Here is a 24631-nt window from a genome sequence, read left to right on the forward strand (position 1 = left end):
TTTAAACAGTCATTGATTTTATGAAACATTTACTTCAGTCTATCAGATTTGCATAACTTCATTTAAAAAAATATTGTGGTCATTTCTACAAGTCACGGTGCTTCTCCCAGAAAGCAAGGGAAGGGCTGGCCACTGGATGTGCGAGCTTCTACCAGAGGGGTGAGGTCGGGCGCTCTGAAGGGTAGGATGAGATGGAGGCCACAGAGCGCCTGTCACCGAGGACCTTCATTCCACAGAGTGTCTGCCTGGATCTCGGATGGTCGTAAGCCACAGAGCACCTGTCACTGAGGACCTTCATTCCACAGCATGTCTGCCTGGATGTCGGATGGTCGGAGGACACACAGCGCCTGTCACCGAGGACCTTCATTCCACAGCGTGTCTGCCTGGATCTCGGATGGTGGGAGGACACACAGCGCCTGTCACTGAGGACCTTCATTCCACAGCGTGTCTGCCTGGATCTCGGATGGTGGGAGGACACACAGCGCCTGTCACTGAGGACCCTTCATTCCACAGCGTGTCTGCCTGGATCTCGGATGGTGGGAGGACACACAGCGCCTGTCACCGAGGACCTTCATTCCACAGATTCCACAGTGTGTCTCCCTGGATCTTGGATGGTGGCTCTTCAGAGTCAATCTTTTCCTTGATGTTCACCGATAAGTCAGAGAATGGCAACAAATCCTGGGAAAGGAGATTTTTTGTAACTGAGCTTTTCCTTCAGGGAACAATGGGAAGTGTTTTCTGTTTGTTTGTTTTGTTTTTTTTTCAATAGAGACATGGTTTTGCCATATTGCCCAGGTTGGTCTTGAACTCCTGGGCTCAAGCGATCCTCCCACCTCAGCCTCCTTAAGTGCTGGGATTACAAGTGTGAGCCACTGCACCTGGTCTTTGTGTGTGTGTGTGTTTTTTTTAGACAGGGTCTCACTCTGTCACCCAGGCTGGAGTATGGTGGTGCAAGTGGTGCAGCCATAGCTCACCGCAGCCTAATTATTTTGTATTTTTTCATAGAGGCAGAGTCTTCCTATGTTGCCCAGGCTGGTCTCGAACTCCTGGGCTCAAGCCATCCACTGAACTTGGCCTCCCACCGTGCTGGAACCACAGGTGTGAGTCACCGTGTCCGGCCAAGGCTGACATTTTTGAGGAGCGGTTGAGGGATTTGGCTTCTTCCCTTGACTCTGAGACCAGAGGACAGACCAAAGGCTGGGAGGAAATTCAGCAGTGTGGCCCTCCTCGGGACGTAAGATGCCCGTTCTCAGATTTGGAGATGCCAGAAAACAAGGCCCAGGAAAGGACCCCGTGCAGGGCCCAGGGCTCCGGGTACTGTGGTCCCAGTGGGCCTGTTAATTCTCAGACTGTTAGTGCGTCTTAAAATGTCTTATAAAGCAGGGAAAGGTACATTTCCGCCATCTGTAACAAAGCACCTTCGTGAAATAAGCCACGAGTTAAAAAGTAAAATTGGGATTCCTGGAAGAGACGCCTCCGTGTTAGAGGCCGTCAGAGCACGGGCTTTGAACAAAACTTCCGGAACGTATGTGAGTGGCTGTGATGCTGCAGGACCGTCGGAAGACAAATAACTTCTCTATCTGGTTCCTACCTAATAACCTTTACAATAAAGAGGAAATCAACCTTCTCTTTGCCTGGCTACCAGAGATTAAACTTACTCTGCTAAGATGATCAATAAAACCAAATGTCTTTCTGAATATGAGCTGGAGAATTTTCAGCATTCAGGATTGAATGGAAAAATGCCTCTCCTTTTGTTCAAACAGCTGATATTACTGCAATGTTGACAGAAAAAAAACCCATGTCTAGTTTTCAATATAGATAATCCCTAAATAAATATATTTTTGTCTCTTTGTCAGTCATTGAAATACCACAGATAAGTGGGGAAGGTCTTGGAAAAAGGCTGCCATTCTTTAGCCAGGAGATGCAACCTGCTCACTGAGTCCAGGCTGCAGCCTCCAGGCCACAATGGAAGGAAAGACAGGTCTCCGGTGGGTTGACGACACCTCAGGCTGTCCCTGCAGGTGCGCCGGCATCAGGCAGGGAACAGGACCGCCCTTGCCTGTTTTGGACGCTTTGGTTTTCCGCCGTGACGCGGCCCTGTGAGGAGAAGTAACTCTCTAAAGTTACATGAAGCCTGCAGCAAAGTCCTCAGCTGCCACCCGTCCCGGCGTCTGCAGCTCTGCAGGGCTGGCTGTCAGGCCTGCTGCTGGGATCATCTGGGAGCTTTGAGGATCTCCAGAGGTCTGGCTCCCCCAAGGATTTTGGTGTGACTGGGGAGTCAGTGCGGCCATCAGCTTTCTCGGTGCCGCCCACGTGATTCTCCTGTGAGCCAGGGTTGAAGACTTCTGCAGCAAAGCGGCACATTTGGAGCCAACACAGTCAGGTACCAGTTAGGTCGTGATGCTGGTCAGTGGGGCCTCCCTTGACCGTTCTCTTGCTGCTCTGAGCGACTGTCTTCTCAGTGGACCTCAAAGTGGGATGTCTGGGCCAGCCATGGAGCATCACCTGAGAAGTTGATAGAAATGCAGATTCCTGGCTGCACCCCGGAGCTGCTGGCTCTTGAACTCTGGGGTGAGGCCCGGCAGTGCAAGTTCTAAGGAGGCTCCAGGTGGCTCTGAGGCTGCTCAGTTCGAGAACCACCGTCTCCGTGTTGGTTCTGGGGTCACAGTAACTGTATCTACCTTTCACGGCATTGGAAGAGCACAGGGGACAGTTGAATCTCTGGCCAGTCTGGGGGTGACATTTCCCTTCCTCCACACCCTACCTCCAAACCCTGTCTCACACCTTCTTCCTCCCACCTTTTGACAAGACAGGTAATAAGTCTGAGACGTCTCTGCATACAGGCCCCACCCCATTTCCAGGCCACTCAGACCTATTCTGGGGGCCTTTCAAGGTGAAATAGAAGCCAACAGCCTTTTGACTCAATAACACACCTGCTAGGAATTCACCCAGCATCTGCATTCTCAATGGAACGCCTGATATATGGATGGGGCCAGTCTTGAAGGGGCTGTTTGTAATTGCAAAGCAGACAAAGCACGGCAAAGCAGAAATGGGAAATCACCTGAGTGCGTCTTAACAGGGAACTGGTTACATAAATGATGGTGCATTATTGACACCCTGGCCTGCCTGACCATGGGTCCCACAGCTCTCGTGCCTCTGAAGCGGGCCTGGCTTGCTGGGACACCCTCAGGGCCAGGAGGCCACAGCTGCCCCACCTGCACCTTCTGTCGCGTGGACGCTCCGCCCCTCACTGGCTCCTGCCGGCCTCACCCGTCACATTGTGTAGGACGCTTGTGACTGCTCTAAAACCACAGGGCTTTCAAGCTGTCCCCTCCAAGGTCCCCTCCTGTGTCCAGCACCATCGTGACTGCCTCCTGCCGGGCTGCCCCTGCCTGGCCCTCAGGTGCCTGTGGTTTAAATCTCCTGGCATTGCTGAGCACGGGTCTGGTGTGCAGATGGAGGTGACTGATGCGTAGGAGGAAGCTGATGGACAGTTCGTCCCTTCGCCAGCAGCTGTGTTGTGTTCAAAGGTGGAAACAAACCAGCTAGGCTCTCAGTGACCCCACCCAACAGGCATTTCCTCAACGTGACTGTGACATCCACAGGGTGGGCCTGCACCTGCCTTGAGCCTCTGCAGCTTGGGATGCCTCAGCCTGAGGTGCTGGGATGATGCCACCTGGGACTGGGTCCCCTGACCTCCTGGGTTCTCCCTTAGGTCCCGGCCGCCATTCTGCAGAGACTCCTGAGTCCGTGAAGTGGATCCAGGGCCTCCAACCGCCCCAGCTGATCTGCCAGGAAAGGGGTCCCTGCTGCCCGGGGGCTGCCTCGGCTGGCGCCACGTGGAGATGAAGTGAGCCAACCCCCGAGCTCAAAGGGAGGGCTTGGGAGTACACGAGGGCCTTGTTGTTTTAGGGCCACCTAAAACAACAGGTTTTAGGTGGCCCTAGGGTTCTGAGGTGCTTTGCTTCACAGCAGGAGACAACTCACTGGAGCCCGTGGCACAGCCTGAGGGAGACAACTCACGGGAGCCCGTGGCACAGCCTGAGGGAGACAACTCACTGGAGCCCGTGGCACAGCCTGAGGGAGACAACTCACGGGAGCCCGTGGCACAGCCTGAGGGGTCTCTGGGTTGCCCACAGCTTCCCCAGGAGCTCACACAGGTCAGGCCAAGGGGAAGGGAGCCCAGTGCACACCCCCAGGCTCTGCGGTCCGAATGCTTGTGTTCCCAAAAATTCACATGGAATCCTCACCTCCCAGAGTGCTCCCCAGCCCCTTCCACCATGGGAGGACGCGGCACAGGGTGCCGTTACCACCTGGGAAGCACAGCCTCACCAGACGCGGAAACTGCTGGAGCAGAGACCTTGGCTTCCAGCCTCCAGCGCCAAGAGGAGCGGATTCCTGTCGTGGGCCAGCGTGTTCTGCGTGGTGGCCGGGATGGACCGAGACTGGGTAGATGCCATCCTGACTGCTGACGTTTGGGACGTGAGACATCTGGGGGCATGGGGCAGCCCGCTGCGGCCAGGTGGGGTCATGGGGCAGCCCACTGGGGTCAGGTGGAGGTCACGGGGCAGCCCGCTGGGGTCAGGTGGGGTCACGGGGCAGCCCGTTGGGGTCAGGTGGGTGTCACGGGGCAGCCCGCTGGGGTCAGGTGGTTCACGGGGCAGCTGGGCTCAGGTGGGGTGGGTGGGATATTCAGCCGCTTCCGATTATTTTCAGTAAATTACTTCCAGGCCACACATATCTCATTTCTCTTCTGAAAAACCCGTCTCAAAAACTCCCTTTCTCTTGATATTTCTCTGGCCAAGTCTACCCTGCAACACGCTGGTAAAATGTAAAATTCCTTCGCACGAGAGTGAAGAGGATGATCCCCAGGTGCGTCTCTCCATTCCCGGGTCCTAACGATTCCTCCTTAAGCCGGCTACCTGCGCGGGGGCCACGCTCTCCCACTGGGAGGATGGTTTCTGGGACATGCGGCGTCTCCTCCTTGTGCCTGTGCGTCTGAGAGAACTGGGGCGTCTCCTTGAACTGGGACGTCTCCTCCTCGTGCCTGTGTGGTCTGAGAGAACTGGGGCGTCTCCTCCAACTGGGGCGTCTCCTCCTCGTGCCTGTGCGTCTGAGAGAACTGCGGGGTCTCCTCCTCGTGCCTGTGTGGTCTGAGAGAACTGCGGGGTCTCCTCCTCGTGCCTGTGCGGTCTGAGAGAACTGCGGTGGCCCCTTGTGGGCCTCTTGGTTCTGGGGACAGAGGACACTTTTCACTCAGCCCGGGGACCTTTGGTTCTTTCTGTGAAGATGGCGCCCATGAGATGACGCCTTGTGACTCAGGTACCTCAGCCCTGCGCCTCCGTCTCTGCGTCTCTGTATTGGGTTGGTGGCGTCCACACTGTCTGCGTCGTTGCTGAGCATCCCAGGTCCCCACTCAGCCCGGCCTCGTGTTTTCTCTTGTCCTCCTGACTGGAGTTCCAGTTCTTACCTTGCAGATGGTGCGCTTGTCACCCTCTGCCGTCTCCACAGCATCTGGGCCGGGTCCCCCCAGGAACTGGGCTCTGGTCTCAGGAGCTGTGGCCGAGGTCGGTGGTGCTGGTGCAGGAGGGCAGAGCCGCGAAGGCAGCGGGGCTGCTGATTGTTTCATTATTACTTTTTATATTTGATAAGTGTTAGTGAATTGATCACTGCTTCTTTCCTCACTAGAGGTGTTATGTCACTTAAGGCCGGGCGCGGTGGCTCACCCCTGTAATCCCAGCACTTTGGGAGGCTGAGGCGGGTGGATCACTTGAGGTCAGGAGTTTGAGACCAGCCTGGCCAACGTGGCGAAACCCTGTCTCTACTAAAAATACAAAAATTAGCCGGGAATGGTGGTGTACGCCTGTAATCCCAGCTACTCGGGAGGCTAAGGCAGAGAATTGCTTGAACCTGGGAGGCAGAGGCTGCAGTGAGCCGGGATCACGCCATGCACTCTAGCCTGGGTGACAAGAGCAAGACTTCATCTCAATCTGTACAATTTTACTCTTTTAAAAGGAGTAAAAATATTTTTAAACCAGACTGGGGGAACTTGGGGTTCGGTGTTTAAAAGCAGTTCTGTTAGGAAGGACCTACACTCTGAGATTAGAACAATGAACATCACTCATTTGACCTCAGTGGAGTCAACAAATCATGGAGGAAGGCGTCAGAATTGTTCCCAGGTGGGCTGCGTGGCCAAGAGGAGGCACGAGAAGCTGTTGTTGAGGGAACATTGAGCAGCTGATCTCTAGGTGGGGGGAGACGGCACTCTGCACAGGCTAAAATTTAGGTTTAGAAATCAGCCAGTGCCGTATTCCCCAGAGAGCAGCTGTAATTTCTTATGGTTCATTTTCATGGAGAAAGTTTTAATCTGTTCATTTAAAGACACATTGTGATCAATAATCAAGCTCAGGTACTTAAAATTAGAAACCATATCTGAAGGAACATTAGTTCCAGGAGATTTAGATTTTTTATATGCCGCTCAATGTTTGATTAATCTTAGAGACAAAAGCTAAAAGCACCTCTGCAGTTTTCCTCATTCTTTTAGGAGCCTGGGGTTTGGCTGTTGGTGAGAGTCTAGCCTGGCTCCATAGAGCTGGAAAAACAGGCCGCGTCCACAGGCCTTCAGGATGGGACTGTTAGGCCTGCGGTGTCCGACCCTCTTCCCATGCAGGGGCAGGGTTTGGTCTCCAGGGCACTCCTAACCTTACCTTGTGGCTTTGCAGGTCAATTCTTATTGACCTGTGACTACCACTTTCTGCAGTTCCATCCCATCTTCCCAGGGCTATGGTGGTGGTAGGATTTTAGGAATCGAGTTTACTGTGACTTTATCTGTTCTCTGATTTCCTGAAGACCGGATAGGTGATTTCTCTCACCTGCCAGTGCCAGCCTCCTAGGGCTGCTGTGGGACAACCACAGTGGGGTGGCTTGAAACAGGGATGTTCCCCCAGTTCTGGAGGCCAGAGTCTGAAAAGGTGTCTGCAGGGTCGTGCTTTCCCTGGGTGCGTGTGGCTGGTGCCACCCCCCGGGGTCCCTGTCCTCCAAGCACCCACTGGCTCTGAGGTCACAGAGGAGGCCAAGGACACCTGGGTGTGTCTGTCCCTGGCCCCAGCACTCAGGTGCAGGCAGCCGGGCCCCATGCTGGGCTCTGTCCCTGCCTCCCATTCTCTCACCTCCCTGCTTCCCCAGCCCCTTTGCATCAGCACGAGGCCCTGGGCGGACTGAGGTGCCTCAGGGACATGGGACTCTAGAGCGTCCTCTCATGGCCTGGACCCCCAGTGGGCCTGGCTGCACATCAGGCCGTTTCCTCTGGGCTGGTCTTAGCCACCAGGCAGCACCCATGGGCTCTTAAGTGGTCATGTAATTATCAAGTCAGTCGTGTTTGCTGAGCCCCTGAGATGTGAGGACACAGTTCTAAGTGCCACAGGGAGGGCCTGGTTCCTGCCCTCTGGGAGGGCCTGATTTGTCGGGGGAGACAAGATGGTCACAGACCATTGGCCCAGGAAGAGGGGCTTCTGAGCAGGGGCTTGGCCCACAGCTTTCTCTGCTGGGGCGCCCGGAGCCTGATGAGTGGTCGGTGCTGTCAGGGCACTGAGGCAGGTGGGGTGGGGGTTCTGCCCAGTAAACAGGCTCAGGGTATCCTCTTGTGGTTCATCGTGGGTCCCCAGATACCACGGTGGATTTCAGATGCAGTGAGGGGCGTGTGGCTGCCAATACCCCCAGATCCTTCTGAATGGCGGAGAACATTAGGTGTGCATTGTGGGAGACACACAGGATGGAGACAAACGACTCGTTCAGTGATCCCCAGAGCAACGCTGAGGGCGCCTGAGAGGGAATCACAACCCCATCAGCACAGGGTGACCTGCCTCAGCCCTTAGGTGTGGGGATGGCTGCACTATCACTGACACCCACACCCATGCCCACGCCTACACCATCACCCATGCCCACACCTACAGCCTCGCCCACACCCACGCCATCACCCACACCCATGCCCATGCCTACACCGTCACCCATGCCCACACCTACAGCCTCACCCACACCCACACTATCACCTACAGCAACACCGTCACCCATGCCCACACCTACAGCCTGGCCCACACCCACACCATCACCCACACCCATGCCCATGCCTACACTGTCGCCCATGCCTACACTGTCACCCATGCCCACACCTACAGCCTCGCCCACACCCATGCCATCACCCACACCCACATCATCACCCACACTCTCACCATCACCCACACCCATGACCACGCCTACACCATCACCCACACCCACATCCACACTCATGCCCATGCCTGCACCGTCACCCACACTCACATCCACACCCACACCATCACCCATGCCCACACCTACAGCTTGGCCCACACCCACACACCCACACCACACTGTCATCCACACCCTTTCCCAACTTGAGTGCTCTCCTGTGCCCTGGTGCACTGAATGACTGTGGCCACAGGAGGCCAGAAGCCCACACAGAGGACGGAGGGGACATCAGATGATGTGTAAGGAAATGTGACAAAAGGTTTCTCCACAATGTTTTACGGCTCATTCTAAGCCACTGGAAAAATTTCAAGATTTCTATCACACACTTTCATATTTTGCTGTAAACTGATCTTACCACTGACATTGTGAAGTGAAATCTATTATTATTCATGGAATTCCGTACCCAGAAGAAGGTCTGCTGTCACCCAAGAATATCACTATGGGTATTATTGGTCCTAAAGGTGATGCCTGTGCATTACTTTTGATCTGTAGGTGGGAAGTAATGTAGCTGTGTTGTTTGTTTGGATCTTTTGATACAAAAGATCATTTTTCATTGATATCAAAGGGAAATTGCAAAGAGAATGACCTATTTGTCTGGCGGACACACTTTCTGTACCTTAATGATACATACAATTCTATCCATTTATTCTCATTTTAATACATGAAAGTGGCACGAAGTCGGAGATCAAAAGCCAGCCAGACATTAATCTCATGGCTGCTCAAACAGAACTGCGTCTATTCCCAGAGAAATTTCTAAACGAAGAAGCAAATATGACCACGGGTTCCCGGCCTCGTGTGGGATGAGACTCGTGCTGTCTAGGAGAGAAAATCTGTAGGTTTCACTGGTTTTAGCACATCCCTAAAATGTATGAGCAGCACACATACCTCTGGAGCCCTGGCCAAAGTTAGTGGCTGAGCAGAAGACACGTGCTTCGCCTCCATAAAGTCGTCTGCGTGGCACGTCAGAAGCCTGCAGTCCTTTCAACTTCCAGTTCCCAGGGCATCATCAATCACGTCGCAGCGATTCCTATTTCACGTCATGGCCATTCTGACAAAACAGCAGGTTTCCTTCGCTCATGAGTGCAGTGAGCGGTTCCTGGATGCTGACCGTGTGGAGCACTTTGTACCTCGTGGGGGTGTAAAGAAGCCTGGCAGGAAGCCTGGCAGGTGGGCCTCAGGCAGATGGAAAGGTGGGGACAGTTGGAAGCAGCCCCTTCCCGCGCTGGGGCCTCCCCGTGGTGTAGACGTCTCCTCGGGACGAGTCTCAGTGGAGCCATCATAGCCAAGTCAGCCGGTGCTTGAAGGCTGCTGCAGCTAGCACCTGGGCAACGCGGAGGCTGTACTTGCCAGCCTGTGCCAGGGAGGCTCTGGGCACTCTCCCTGCCAGCCCACCAAGGTGTTGCCAATGGCGCTGTGAGGGGTTCAAAACCCTTGTCCTCTCCTGCTGTGGCTCAGCCTCCCATCGCTCCCTCCCTCCCTCCCTCCTATCTATCTTCTATCATCTGTCGATCAGTCATCTAATCTATAATCTATCATCTATCTAATCTATGATCTATCATCTAATTTTCATCTATCATCTATCATTATCATCTATCATCTACCTATCATCTGTCATCTATTATCTGTCATCTGTTATCATCTATCATCTATTAACTATCATCTGATCTATAATCTATGTATCATCTGTCATCTTCATCTATCTGTCATTTATTGTTCTATGTATGCCTGCTATGTGCTGTATCATCTATCTGTCATCTCTATCCATCTATCTGTCTGTCATCTATCGATCTATGTATGCCTGCTATGTTCCTGCACCCACTGTGCCAGACACTGAATGCATGACGTGGAATGAGACAAGGTCCCCACCTGCCAGAAGCTTAGAGTTTGGTGGGAAGCATGGATTCTAAGGAGGGTGAGGGCCTCCCGGGTTCAGACAGTGGACTCCCAGCAGCCTCAAATATGTTATTTCTGGACGAGACCATGGTATGCTGCTCACAGTCAGCTCTCGAAAGAAAGAAACAATCACGTGTGTAGCTTTCCAATTTCCATGGTGTAAGCACCATCACTGTGGCCAATTTCAAGGGCCCAGTGTGAGGTCACTGAGCAGGTTTGGGCAGCGATGAAGGGGTTTGGAAAACAGCAGGATTTTGTGGTATTTCCACCACACAGATATAAGAGGTGTAAATAATTTCAAGAGCACAAATAACAGTAAAATAATTTGGAGTGGTGAGTTTTGAGTACCTGTTACCTTTGTTTTACTATATTTAGTTCTAAGTTTATGTAATTTAGTTTTTAATAATGACTTATTTGACAACCACCTTTCAAAACTGCCTGCACATCTCACCATGGCCCTCAGGATGACGCTGGCTCCTGTGCATCCTGCGCCGGGCATGGTGCCTCACGTGAGGTCATTTCCACGGCCACGTGTGTCCTCCTGCCGCTTCACAGACGGTGACTTCCACCTCCATGTCCTCAGACTCCACTCTCCACAGAGCCCTGACTGTCATTAACTCCCTGACTTAGAATATTTCATCCGTATTTGTGTATGAAGGGTCCTTTATGTTGAATGTTATTTAAGCCCTAGGTTTAATTTTTGTTTTTGTGCAGGATAGAAAACAGATGAACACATACGTTATCAGATGGTCTCTCTGTACAAATAATGCACGGCCCAGATGCTTATGGTCTGGAATCATTAGCATAACATATGCTGCTGCTCAGAAACGGCAAGTGCGGCGCAATTCTGAAACAGCTCCTGCCTTAGCAGGTACATCCTGGTCTATGCTCAGGTCTGATTTTGGCAGATACACAAGTACCTTCTTGCCAAAGGCTGTGTCCCCATGTCACTGCTTGTGCCTGGCCCAGAGCAGAGGCTCCGAGTGGTGGCACCACTTCTGTCATTGTCGGGACCATGGCTGCCCCTCCTCCCCCTCCTGCTAAACCAACAAGGGCTGTTGACTGAGGGCCCCCGAGGGCCACTGAGTGCACCCCACAGTGGCAGGCACCCTGCAACCAAGTGTCCCTGAGTCCACCCCACCATGGCAGACACCCTGCAGCTGAGAGGCCCTGAGTGCACCTCACTGTGGCAGGCACCCTGCAGCCAAGTGGCCCTGAGTCCACCTCACCGTGGCAGGCACCCTGCAGCCAAGTGGCCCTGAGTCCACCCCACCGTGGCAGGCACCCTGCAGCTGAGAGGCCCTGAGTGCACCTCACTGTGGCAGGCACCCTGCAGCCAAGCGGCCCTGAGTCCAACCCACCGTGGCAGGCACCCTGCAGCCAAGCGGCACTGATGAGCCCTTGGAGGTCAGAACTCAGACGCAGAAGCAGACAGTACCTGGAACTGAACCCCTGCAAGCTCCATGCAGAGAACAGCGTGGCAGCACTCGAGGAGGGAAAGGCTTTGGGGAAGAGGGAGGGAGGCAGAAGGAGCAGCTCAGGGAGCTCATCAATGAGGGAGGGTGAGTGGAGCAGAGATGAAGAGATGAGATACACACAGCCAGGGAGGAGGATGAGATGGAGAGGGAGAGACAGAGACACAGAAAGACAGAGACAAGCAGACAAGGACAGAGATAAAAAGACAAAGAGAGACAGAGATGGGCACACAGAGAAAGAGACAGAGAGACAAGGACAGAGATGGAGACAAAGCTAGAGACAGACAGGGAGAGAGATACAGAGAGACAGAGGGAGAGACATAGAGACAGACGCAGAGACAGAGAGAGGCCGAGAGCGAGAGGAGGAGGGAGAAGAGATGATGGGGACAAGGGGAAGCCAAGTCTAAGACAGGAGAGAACCAGTACCAGAACCAGAAGGTGGCTGGGCTTCGAGGGGCCTGGGCCAGTGGCTAGGGGCATTTCAAGCCTTGCCTGTGCCCCCACACCTGGGCACCCCCCTGTCCACTGCACCCCTGTCCTGTCACCAGACTCGGGGATGAAGCACTTGTGAATGGAGAGAGAGGACGCAACTCTGTTCTAACCCGGCAGGTGCTTAGGATTAATTCCTGGACAAATTCAGGAATTCTCACTCTAGCTGCCCAGAGCCACGGGTGTGACAATTTCCACAAACTTGTATTCTGTTTTCAAAAGGAGTCTAGAATCACCCCCAAATCCCGGACACTGAAAGCCCCTGGCCAGGAAGCAGTGTAGACCTTTGTTTTTCAAGGAGATTTTGTTACAGAGAGACAACCCTGCCCCTTGAGTGGCCACTGAGTGCTTGGACCTGCCAGCGTTGTGTGGGTTTGCATCTGTGTCCAGCATCTCGTGGGTTTGCACCTGTGCCCGGACCTGCCAGTGTTGCGTGGGTTTGCACCTGTGCCCAGACCTGCTGGCATCGCGTGGGTTTGCACGTGTCCAGCATCATGTAGGTTTGTACCTGTGCCCAGACCTGGCATTGCGTGGGTTCGCACCTGTGTCCAGCGTTGTGTAGCTTTGCACCTGTACCCGGACCTGCCGGTGACACATAGGTTTGCACCTGTGTCCAGCATCGTGTAGGTTTGCACCTGTGTCCAGCGTCATGTAGGTTTGCACCTGTGTCCAGCGTAGTGTAGGTTTGCACCTGTGCCCGGACCTGCTGGCGTTGCATGGGTTTGCACCTGTGTCCAGCATCGTGTAGGTTTGCACCTGTGCCTGGACCTGCCAGCGTTGCATGGGTTTGCCCCTGTGCCTGGACCTTCTGGCGTTGTGTAGGTTTGCACCTGTACCCAGCGTCACGTGGGTTTGCACCTGTGCCTGGACCTGCCGGCGTCGCATGGGTTTGCACCTGTGCCTGGACCTGCCAGCGTTGCGTGGGTTTGCCCCTGTGCCTGGACCTTCTGGCGTTGTGTAGGTTTGCACCTGTACCCAGCGTTGCGTGGGTTTGCCCCTGTGCCTGGACCTTCTGGCGTTGTGTAGGTTTGCACCTGTACCCAGCGTCGCGTGGGTTTGCACCTGTGCCTGGACCTGCCGGCGTCGCGTGGGTTCGCACCTGTGTTTAGTCCACCATCTATGGATGTTGAAGATCCCAGGGACGGCCAAGTTTCAATTCTGTAGGTGCTAATTTACTTCATTTTTCTGGGGCACCAGAGAGTAAATTTAGAAACCCAATGCTATCTTAGGGCACCAAGAGAATTTCAGTTGAGGTGAAAATTACTGCTTTTTCCTCATCATGAATAGATGAAAACATTGTAAAGGAAGAATACATTTTCTTTTGAAGAATGAGCTATTTGTCGACAATGGGCTGTTCCCTTTGATGCAGAAACCACGGCTTTGGTCCACTGTCATTAGGCTGACCCTGTGGCTCCCCAGCCAGGAGTGCCCAGAGCCAGGAAGGAAAGGGCACCATTTTCCCCAGCTCTCCCACGATTTCCATGAGAAGGTGGAACCATTGTTGTTAGGGCTGGGGTTTCATCTGCCTGGAGTCCAGAAGCCGGTCTGTGTAGATCCCGGGGAGCAGAGCTGTAGGGGCCTGCAGGGGCGGGGGCAGGTGCGGCGGGGGTCTCCCGTTTTCTCCTGGGCCCTGTGTCCCCTGATGTCACCCCCCTGACCTCCAGCCCCTTGGGTTTTGTGGACGGGCCAGGGCCCAGCACTCGGGCTTAGGATGGGTAAACAGTTGTCCTGTTATCTGTTGGGCATATGGCAGGTGCCTGTCCCATGCAGGCACTGCCTGCCCCATGGGCATCTGTCTGTGCTAGAACCCCTGGGTGGCTGCGTTTTGAAGAGGATTTTACGGGGGCTGGCTGTGCGCACCCTCTCCCTTCTCTCCGTTCTCTCCCCAGATCGTGCTGTGGTTGTAGGGAGCCCAGGACCCCATGGGCACAAAAGCCTCCATGCAAGCATCAGAGGTGATGCCCCGGGTCCTGCTCAGGCCTTCGGCTTCCTGGCCCTCCCCACTCAGCCTCCTTCCTGCACATCCTGGGGACCAACCTTTGCATCTCCTGCCTGGCTCCACCACAAAACGTCCTTACAGAGGGTCTCAGGGCCACAGCCTCGTTGGGAGTTGGGGGTGGCACCCGGAGACCACATTTGCACCAAATGCGCTGTTTTCACTCCAGCTGCAGATGACAGAGGAACAGGACGACCAGAGTGTCCAAGGGTGTTCTGGGTCCCTCAACCCAGACTTCCTGTGACCACATTGTTGTTAGTTTATCAGGCTTGTGGGGAATTCATGGCTCTTTTAGGGAAACTCATGCTGTCCCCACACCTGTGACCCCTATTTTCCAAACCAAAGTTACAGAAATGTCCTGCATTGGGGATGGCGCTTTCAGGGCGTCAGACCAATGTGGGGGAGGTCTAGGGGCTTCAGATCAACGTTGGGGAGGTCTTAGGGCCTCAGATCCACGTTGGGGAGGCCTCAGGGCCTCAAATCCACGTTGGGGAGGCCTCAGGGCATCAGAGCAACGTGGGGGAGGCCTCGGGGCCTCAGAGCAACGTGGGGGAGGTCTCAGGGTGTCACCAACGTGGGGGTGTCACCAACGTGGGGGAGGTCTCGGGGTCAGATCGAGGACGGAGAGGTCTTGGGACATTAGACCAAGGTTGGGGGAAGTCTCAGGGCATCAGACTAACCTGGGGGAGGTCTTGGGGCATCAGACTGAGGTTGGGGGAGGTCTTAGGGTATCAGACTGAGGTCAAGGAGGTCTCGGGGCATCAGACCGAGGTTGGGGGAGGTCTCGGGGCATCAGGCCAAGGTAGGGGGAGGTCTCAACGCGTCAGACCAAGGTTGGGGGAGGTCTTGGGCAGAGCAGCTCAGGAGCTTGGGGCGTGGCAGCGACTGGAGGTGCTGGGAGGGAGGCGGGTGCCCATTCTGCAGCTTCCTGCTCCTCTGCACAGAGCTCAGCCGAGGCCTCTCATCCCGAGACCTCCACATGGAGGCTTTGAAAACTCCATCCAAGAAGACAATATCTCGGGATGGTAGGGGAAAGGTGTTCCACCCAGCTGACCTCAAGGCCTTTGGCTGTCCCTGGACATTAGTCAGGTTTTTGTGGAAAGCCCAGTGGGGAGGGAGGCCCTGGCTTCTCGTTAGCCTATGGCCACCCCGACTGGCCGGCAGCCTCAGGCCAGGCTGTGTTTGCCCCATGCAGCCACAGCCTGGGGTTGCCGGGCCTTGCTCGGGGCTGTTTGCCTCTGCAGCGGCAGCCTCGGGTGGCAGGGCCTTGCTCCCTCAGGGACTCGGGGTGCCTTGGCCTCAGGGTGTGGGACTGAACATGTGGAATGGCTGTGGAGTTCCACGGCTCAGGCACAGGGCCCTGACCGCATGTGCCCAGCATCACTGACCTCACCAGAAGTGGGATGCAGGGAGCCTGGGGCTTGGCACTCCCCACCGGCCGCAGCCAACATCCTCGAGAGGAAGCCGTGGGCCTCACCTGGCGATCTTGTCCGTGCAGGACATGGTGATCAGCTGCTCCCCCAGCAGGACGCCGTCCCAGGTCTGCACTGCGCTGGGGCCACGCACGGGGACCGTCCCTTCCCCGGACTCGATCTTGGTGCGCAGGTGCCCGCGGAACTTCCTGACGAGGTGTTTGCTGCTGTGCACTAGGAGATAAAAGGGCGGGGAGGGGTGAGAAGAGGGAAGCCGCCTTGGTTTTGGGAGGTGGGAGAAGAGGAAGGACTGCAACAGAGGTCAAAGGGCCCCTCACCATGGCTGGGCGTTTGGCACGAGGAAGGGGCTTCAGAAATAAGCGCCATGTGGGGTTGGGCTCCAGAGCCACACCATCCCGCCTGGGCCGGGCCAACTTCCCAGTCAAGGGTCAGGGAGTAAAAACCCCAGGCTTCATGGGCCAGACTCTCTTTTCACCAACACCCGCCTCTGTTGCGTGAGTGCAGCCACGGCCTGGACCGTGCTCAGGCCAGTAAGGGGCCACCGCGTCCTCAATGCTTCATTTACAGATGCAGACTTGAACACGCAGTTGGACGTGTCGTTTTCAGAGGTTGTGAAACACCGTTTTTCTCACTTTTCAGCCATTAAAAATGTAAATATTTATGCTTAGCTGGAGGGCTGTGCAGAAATAGGTGGTGAGTGGGACTCAGCTCTTACCCTGGTCCAGGTGTCAGTCCCGGCTCCATGGTAAGCTGGCTGTGTAACCTTGGGAAAGTGTCTCAAAGTCACTGTGACCCGGTTACTTCCTCTAATGACGAGGGTAATAGCAGTGCTTGCCGCCCAGGCTGTGAGGAGTCGGTGAGGTGGCTCCTGTGAAGGTGCTGGGGTTGCCTGGGCACCTCCACTCTTGCTGTGTCCCCTAATTACCAAGGGTCGCCATGGGCAGGAGCTCCGCCAGGCCCAGAAGTGACGGAGCGTCTGGTGGGTCTCTGTGGGTCCCTCAGGTGTTCTGTGTTCTCCTTTCTAGGGTCCCCTTGACACCCCCCGCCCCCCTATACCACATTCCCCACAATTACTTGGAGAACTAGCATGAGCAAGAGGAAGCTTAAATTTATGTTTCTCTTTCTTTGAAAAAATTTTGTATGTTTTTGTTTTGTTTTGTTTGAGATGGAGTCTCGCTCTCTTACCCAGGCTGGAGTGCAGTGGCGCAATCTCAGCTCACTGCAACCTCCGCCTCCCAGGTTCAAGAGATTCTCCTGCCTCAGCCTCCTGAGTAGCTGGGATTACAAGTGCTCATCACCACACCCAGCTAATTTTTGTATTTTCAGTAGAGATGGGGTTTCGCCATGTTGGCTAGGCTGGTCTCGAACTCCTGACCTCAGGTGATCCGCCCACCTCCGCCTCCCAAAGTGCTGGGATTACAGGCCTGAGCCACTGCACCCAGCCAAAATCTTGTACATTAAATCTGGATTATATTGTAATATGGAAATGGCCCACTGCTTTGCATTTGAATTATATATAAAATAGTATAGTGATTATATCATTTACATACATATGATAACGTAAGTGAATATTAAATGCTTTCTTTAGAAAGTTCCTATTGAAGTTTTAGAAGCTGTGGAAATGCAATTTCCCCCTCACTTTCCCCCACTGACAGTGCTTGATATGGCTGGGATCCGTGTCCCCACTGAAATCCATGTTGACATGTAATCCCCAGTGTCGGAGGTGGAATTTGGTGGGAGATGACTGGATCATGGGGCGGATTTCTCATGCCCAGTTTACTACCGTCCCCTTGGTGCTGTCCTCGTGGCAGTGAATTGTTCTCATGAGACCTGGTCATTTAAAAGTGTGTGGCATCAGCCGGGCACGGTGGCTCACGCCTGTAATCCCAGCACTTTGGGAGGCAGAGGCGGGCGGATCACGAGGTCAGGAGATTGAGATCATCTTGGCTAACACAGTGAAACCCCATCTCTACTAAAAATACAAAAAAAAAAAATTAGCCGGGCGTGGTGGCGGGCGCCTGTAGTCCCAGCTACTCGGGAGGCTGAGGCAGGAGAATGGCCTGAACCCAGGAGGTGGAGCTTGCAGTGAGCCGAGATTGTGCCACTGTACTCCAGCCTGGGCGACAGAGCAAGACTACGTCTCAAAAAAAAAAAAAAAAAAAAGAGTGTGTGGCATCTCCCCCGCCCTCTCACTCCTGCTCTGGCCATGTCACTTTCTGCCATGATTGTGAGCTTCCTGAGGCCTCCCCAGAAGCCAAGCAGATGCCAGTATCATGCTTCCTGTATAGCCTGTGGAACCTCAAGCCAATTAAACCTCTTTTCTTTATAAATTACCCAGTCTCAGGTGTTTCTCTAGAGCAATGTGAGAATGGACTAATACAGTGCTGAATGGTAACTAATGCTTGGGTTTATATAGGAACTTTCTCCTAAAGATCCCAAGTAATTTCCAGTGTATTTTCTAATTGTCTGTAAGAGCTGACATTCTTTCACTATACATTCATAGTACTTAAGGCTATGCCTTGGGAAGAAAGATCGCTGCATTCTTTGGAGAAAAAACCCTTTGAGAGGCTTCAGATGGCTTTTCACTTTGTAACCAACTAGATACTTGATGAGATAAAATTTGGACCGGTCTTTGAGTCATTCACGGAAAAAAGAGCGAATGAGAGGTATTGAGCCTGGGCAGGCACAGCAAATAATGCCCAGCTCTTCCCCAGATAAAGCACAAATCTCTTCTTTGCAGCTTTAATGGTGATGGTGATGATAATGGTGGTGGTGATGGTGATAATGGAGGTAATGGTGGTGGTGATGGTGTTAATGGAGGTGATGGTGATGGTGAAGATAATGGTGATGATGGTGGCGGTGGAGACGGTGATATGATGGTGAAGATAATGATGGCAATGGTGATGATGGTGATGGTAATGATGGTGGTGATGATGATGGTGATGGTGATGATGATGGTAATGGTGGTGGTGATGATGGTGATGGTGATAATGATGGTAATGGTGGTGGCGATGATGGTGATGGTGATGATGGTGGTGATAATGGTGATGGTGGTGGTGATGGATGATGGTGATGGTGGTGATGATGGTGATGATGATGGTAATGGTGATGGTGATGATGGTGGTGATGATGGTAATGGTGATGGTGGTGGTGGTGATGATGGTGATGGTGATGATGGTGGTAATGGTGATGGTGGTGGTGGTGATGATGGTGATGATGGTGAAGATAATGATGGCAATGGTGATGATGGTGATGGTAATGATGGTGGTGATGATGGTGGTGATGATGATGATGGTAATGGTGGTGATGATGGTGATGGTGATGATGGTGGTGATAATGGTGGTGGTGGTGATGATGGTGGTGATGATGGTAATGGTGATGGTGGTGGTGATGGTGGTGATGGTGGTAATGGTGATGGTGGTGGTGATGGATGATGGTGATTGTGGTGATGATGGTGATGATGATGGTGATGGTGGTGGTGATGATGGTGATTGTGGTGGTGATGATGGTCGTGATGGTGATGATGGTGGTGATGATAAATTGAACATAAAATAGTTCGTATGACTCAAAACACTTGGTTTAAACTGACTTTTTGCAGGTGGGGTCTTTATGAACATCAACTTTCTGCGGAAGGCAACATTGAAAGCATGGAGGAGCCATCACACCTAACAGTTTCCACAACATTACCACAATATTAGGGACTTTACTCTTTCATTTGGGGGATATTTTCTCAGGGAATGTGGTTGTTGCTGTCCCTCCATTTCTGTTATAGTATTCTTATATTCTCCCAACGTTTTAACTATTGTGGTCTTTTTCGAGATCTTGAAAGTTGCCTATTATATTGTAAGGCCTTTCTAAATTTTTACCAGTTGCTACTGCACAACTAACTTTCCATGAAGTACACTTGATAGCCTGTTAATGCCATGACAACAGGGAGGCCCTGCTTTAATTAACAGCTAGTTCCTAGGAGTTAACCCAAAGCTTTCAGGTTAGACTAATTTTGCCTGAGGAGCCAGGTGCATGAGTTGCTCCTGAGTGTTTATTTTTGGAGGTGTTCAGTCTTGGGATGCCTTCTCCACAGGCTCCCTGATGAGTTTGAGCAGCCCCAGGGTGGCTTGAATGTCGGTGATCCTGCAGAGCCCATTTCCTCTGGCTCTTTCCTGGCTAATTGTGAGAGGTGGGAAGGAGTTGAAGATGCCACTTAAGGCTGACAAAATGCCAGTCCAACCAGCAATTGCAGTGAGCTGGCCATAAATGATCTGTAGTGGATTTAGAGTGTGCCTGAGACAGTGAAAGTGTAGAACCTCAAACTCCTGACTGCTGTGTCTACATAGATGCTCACAAATCCATCCAAACATTCTGGTCCAATTCTGACAGTCCAAGTCATCAGACTCTTCATTACAGTGCTTATTAACCTATATAAAACCCTAGATAAAACCCTTGTCTTTTGAGGTCAATATCAAGGTAAATAAGGATAGTTTTTAGATGCTCATTTCTTTTTTTTTTTTAATTTTATTATTATTATTATACTTTAAGTTTTAGGGTACATGTGCACAACGTGCAGGTTTGTTACATATGTATACATGTGCCATGTTGGTGTGCTGCACCCAGTAACTCATCATTTAGCATTAGGTATATCTCCTAATGCTATCCCTCCCCCCTCACCCCACCCCACCACAGTCCCCAGTGTGTGATGTTCCCCTTCCTGTGTCCATGTGTTCTCATTGTTCAATTCCCATCTATGAGTGAGAACATGCGGTGTTTGGTTTTTTGTCCTTGCGATAGTTTGCTGAGAATGATGGTTTCCAGTTTCATCCATGTCCCTACAAAGGACATGAACTCATCTTTTTTTTATGGCTGCATAGTATTCCATGGTGTATATGTGCCACATTTTCTTAATCCAGTCTATCATTGTTGGACATTTAGGTTGGTTCCAAGTCTTTGCTATTGTGAACAGTGCCACAATAAACATGTGTGCATATGTCTTTATAGCAGCATGATTTATAATCCCTTGGGTATATACCCAGTAATGGGATTGCTGGGTCAAATGGTATTTCCAGTTCTAGATCCCTGAGGAATGACCACACTGACTTCCACAATGGTTGAACTAGTTTACAGTCCCACCAACAGTGTAAAAGTGTTCCTATTTCTCCACATCCTCTCCAGCACCTGTTGTTTCCTGACATTTTACTGATTGCCATTCTAACTGGTGTGAGATGGTATCTCATTGTGGCTTTGATTTGCATTTCTCTGATGGCCAGTGATGATGAGCATTTTTTCATGTGTCTTTTGGCTGCATAAATGTCTTTTTTTGAGAAGTGTTTGTTCATATCCTTCGCCCACTTTTTGAATGGGGTTGTTTTTTTCTTGTAAATTTGTTTGAGTTCATTGTAGATTCTGGATATTAGCCCTTTGTCAGATGAGTAGGTTGCAAAAAATTTTCTCCCATTTTGTAGTTTGCCTGTTCACTCTGATGTTAGTTTCTTTTGCTGTGCAGAAGCTCTTTAGTTTAATTAGATCCCATTTGTCAATCTTGGCTTTTGTTGCCATTGCTTTTGGTGTTTTAGACATGAAGTCCTTGCCCATGCCAATGTCCTGAATGGTATTGCCTAGATTTTCTTCTAGGGTTTTTATGGTTTTAGGTCTAACATGTAAGTCTTTAATCCATCTTGAATTAATTTTTGTATAAAGTGTAAGGAAGGGATCCAGTTTCAGCTTTCTACATATGGCTAGCCAGTTTTCCCAGCACCATTTATTAAATAGGGAATCCTTTCCCCATTGCTTGTTTTTGTCAGGTTTGTCAAAGATCAGATGGTTGTAGATATGCGGCATTATTTCTGAGGGCTCTGTTCTGTTCCATTGGTCTATATCTCTGTTTTGGTACCAGTACCATGCTGTTTTGGTTACTGTAGCCTTGTAGTATAGTTTGAAGTCAGGTAGCATGATGCCTCCAGCTTTGTTCTTTTGGCTTAGGATTGACTTGGTGATGTGGGCTCTTTTTTGGTTCCATATGAACTTTAAAGTAGTTTTTTCCAATTCTGTGAAGAAAGTCATTGGTAGCTTGATGGGGATGGTATTGAGTCTATAAATTACCTTGGGCAATATGGCCTTTTTCACGATATTGATTCTTCCTGCCCATGAGCATGTATTGTTCTTCGATTTGTTTGTGTCCTCTTTTATTTCATTGAGCTGTGGTTTGTAGTTCTCCTTGAAGAGGTCCTTCACATCCCTTGTAAGTTGGATTCCTAGGTATTTTATTCTCTTTGAAGCAATTGTGAATGGGAGTTCACTCATGATTTGGCTCTCTGTTTGTCTGTTATTGGTGTATAAGAATGCTTGTGATTTTTGTACATTGATTTTGTATCCTGAGACTTTGCTGAAGTTGCTTATCAGCTTGAGGGAATTTTGGGCTGAGACGATGGGGTTTTCTAGATATACAGTCATGTCATCTGCAAACAGGGACAATTTGACTTCCTCTTTTTCTAATTGAATAACCTTTATTTCCTTCTCCTGCCTGATTGCCCTGGCCAGAACTTCCAACACTATGTTGAATAGGAGTGGTGAGAGAGGGCATCCCTCTCACTGTCTTGTGCCAGTTTTCAAAGGGAATGCTTCCAGTTTTTGCCCATTCAGTATGATATTGGCTGTGGGTTTGTCATAGATAGCTCTTATTATTTTCAGATACGTCCCATCAATACCTAATTTATTGAGAGTTTTTACCATGAAGGGTTGTTGAATTTTGTCAAAGGCCTTTTCTGCATCTATTGAGATAATCATGTGGTTTTTGTCTTTGGCTCTGTTTATATGCTGGATTACGTTTATTGATTTTCGTATGTTGAACCAGCCTTGCATCCCAGGGATGAAGCCCACTTGATCATGGTGGATGAGCTTTTTGATGTGCTGCTGGATTCGTTTTGCCCGTATTTTATTGAGAATTTTTGCATCAATGCTCATCAAGGATATTGGTCTAAAATTCTCTTTTTTGGTTGTGTCTCTGCCAGGCTTTGGTTTCAGGATGATGCTGGCCTCGTAAAATGCGTTAGGGAGGATTCCCTCTTTTTCTATTGATTGGAATAGTTTCAGAAGGAATGGTACCAGCTCCTCTTTGTACCTCTGGTAGAATTCGGCTGTGAACCCCATCTGGTCCTGGACTTTTTTTGGTTGGTAAGCTGTTGATCATTGCCTCAATTTCAGAGCCTGTTATTGGTATATTCAGAGATTCAGCTTCTTCCTTGTTTAGTCTTGGGAGGATGTATGTGTCGAGGAATTTATCCATTTCTTCTAGATTTTCTAGTTTATTTGCATAGAGGTGTTTGTAGTATTCTCTGATGGTAGTTTGTATTTCTGTGGGATCGGTGGTGATATCCCCTTTATCATTTTTTATTGCATCTCTTTGATTCTTCTCTCTTTTCTTCTTTATTAGTCTTGCTAGTGGTCTATCACATTTTGTTGATCTTTTCAAAAAAACAGCTCCTGGATTCATTAATTTTTTGAAGGGTTTTTTGTGTCTCTATTTCCTTCAGTTCTGCTCTGATTTTAGTTATTTCTTGCCTTCTGCTAGCTTTTGAATGTGTTTGCTCTTGCTTTTCTAGTTCTTTTAATTGTGATGTTAGGGTGTCAATTTTGGATCTTTCCTGCTTTCTCTTGTGGGCATTTAGTGCTATAAATTTCCCTCTACACACTGCTTCGAATGTGTCCCAGAGATTCTGGTATGTTGTGTCTTTGTTCTTATTGGTTTCAAAGAACATCTTTATTTCTGCCTTCATTTCATTATGTACCCAGTAGTCATTCAGGAGCAGGTTGTTCAGTTTCCACGTAGTTGAGTGGTTTTGAGTGAGTTTCTTTCTAGTTTGATTGCACTGTGGTCTGAGAGACAGTTTGTTATAATTTCGGTTCTTTTACATTTGCTGAGGAGAGCTTTACTTCCAATTATGTGGTCAGTTTTGGAGTAGGTGTGGTGTGGTGCTGAAAAAAATGTATATTCTGTTGATTTGGGGTGGAGAGTTCTGTAGATGTCTATTAGGTCCACTTGGTGCAGAGCTGAGTTTAATTCCTGGGTATCCTTGTTAACTTTCTGTCTTGTTGATCTGTCTAATTTTGACAGTGGGGTGTTAAAGTCTCCCATTATTATTGTGTGGGAGTCTAAGTGTCTTTGTAGGTCTCTAAGGACTTGCTTTATGAATCTGGGTGCTCCTGTATTGGGTGCATATATATTTAGGATAGTTAGCTCTTCTTGTTGAATTGATCCCTTTACCATTATGTAATGGCCTTCTTTGTCTCTTTTGATCTTCGTTGGTTTAAAGGCTGTTTTATTAGAGACTAGGATTGCAACCCCTGCCTTTTTTTGTTTTCCATTTGCTTGGTAGATCTTCCTCCATCCCTTTGAGCCTATGTGTGTCTCTGCAGCTGAGATGGGTTTCCTGAATACAGCACACTGATGGGTCTTGACTCTTTTTCCAATTTGCCAGTCTGTGCCTTTTAATTGGAGCATTTAGCCCATTTACATTTAAGGTTAGTATTGTTATGTGTGAATTTGATCCTGTCATTATGATGTTAGCTGGTTATTTTGCTCATTAGTTGATGCAGTTTCTTCCTAGCCTTGATGGTGTTTACAATTTGGCATGTTTTTGCAGTGGCTGGTACCGGTTGTTCCTTTCCATGTTTAGTGCTTCCTTCAGGAGTTCTTGTAGGGCAGGCCTGGTGGTGACAAAATCTCTCAGCATTTGCTTGTCTGTAAAGTATTTTATTTCTCCTTCACTTATGAAGCTTAGTTTGGCTGGATATGAAATTCTGGGTTAAAATTCTTTTCTTTAAGAATGTCGAATGTTGGTCCCCACTCTCTTCTGGCTTGTAGAGTTTCTGCCGAGAGATCAGCTGTTAGTCTGATGGGGTCCCTTTGTGGGTAACCCGACCTTTCTCTCTGGCTGCCCTTAACATTTTTTCCTTCATTTCAACTTTGGTGAATCTGACAATTATGTGTCTTGGAGCTGCTCTTCTCGAGGAGTATCTTTGTGGCGTTCTCTGTATTTCCTGAATATGAATGTTGGCCTGCTTTGCTAGATTGGGGAAGTTCTCCTGGATAA

The 24631-nt window shown here is 50.6% G+C and overlaps 1 protein-coding gene across 1 annotated transcript in view, besides 2 other annotated features; it reads right to left on the bottom strand.

Moving 5' to 3' along the window:
- Positions 1–24631, bottom strand: part of ADARB2 (adenosine deaminase RNA specific B2 (inactive)) — a 560213-nt gene that overhangs the window by 24046 nt on the left and 511536 nt on the right. Inside the window, exon 7 of the mRNA NM_018702.4 lies at positions 15593–15761. Coding sequence (NP_061172.1) covers positions 15593–15761 — 169 coding nt within the window. The remainder of the gene's footprint in view (positions 1–15592; positions 15762–24631) is intronic.
- Positions 9016–9516: an enhancer, noted in NCBI's record as "H3K4me1 hESC enhancer chr10:1256314-1256814 (GRCh37/hg19 assembly coordinates)". NCBI's record gives its function as "activates a minimal SCP1, AML or CMV promoter by ChIP-STARR-seq in naive and primed H9 embryonic stem cells {active_cell/tissue: H9 hESC(naive and primed)}" and the evidence as "EXISTENCE:reporter gene assay evidence [ECO:0000049][PMID:30033119]".
- Positions 10874–11404: an enhancer, noted in NCBI's record as "H3K4me1 hESC enhancer chr10:1258172-1258702 (GRCh37/hg19 assembly coordinates)". NCBI's record gives its function as "activates a minimal SCP1, AML or CMV promoter by ChIP-STARR-seq in primed H9 embryonic stem cells {active_cell/tissue: H9 hESC(primed)}" and the evidence as "EXISTENCE:reporter gene assay evidence [ECO:0000049][PMID:30033119]".

The sequence above is a fragment of the Homo sapiens genome, chromosome 10 (assembly GCF_000001405.40).
Source record: "Homo sapiens chromosome 10, GRCh38.p14 Primary Assembly".
Lineage (NCBI taxonomy): Eukaryota > Metazoa > Chordata > Mammalia > Primates > Hominidae > Homo > Homo sapiens.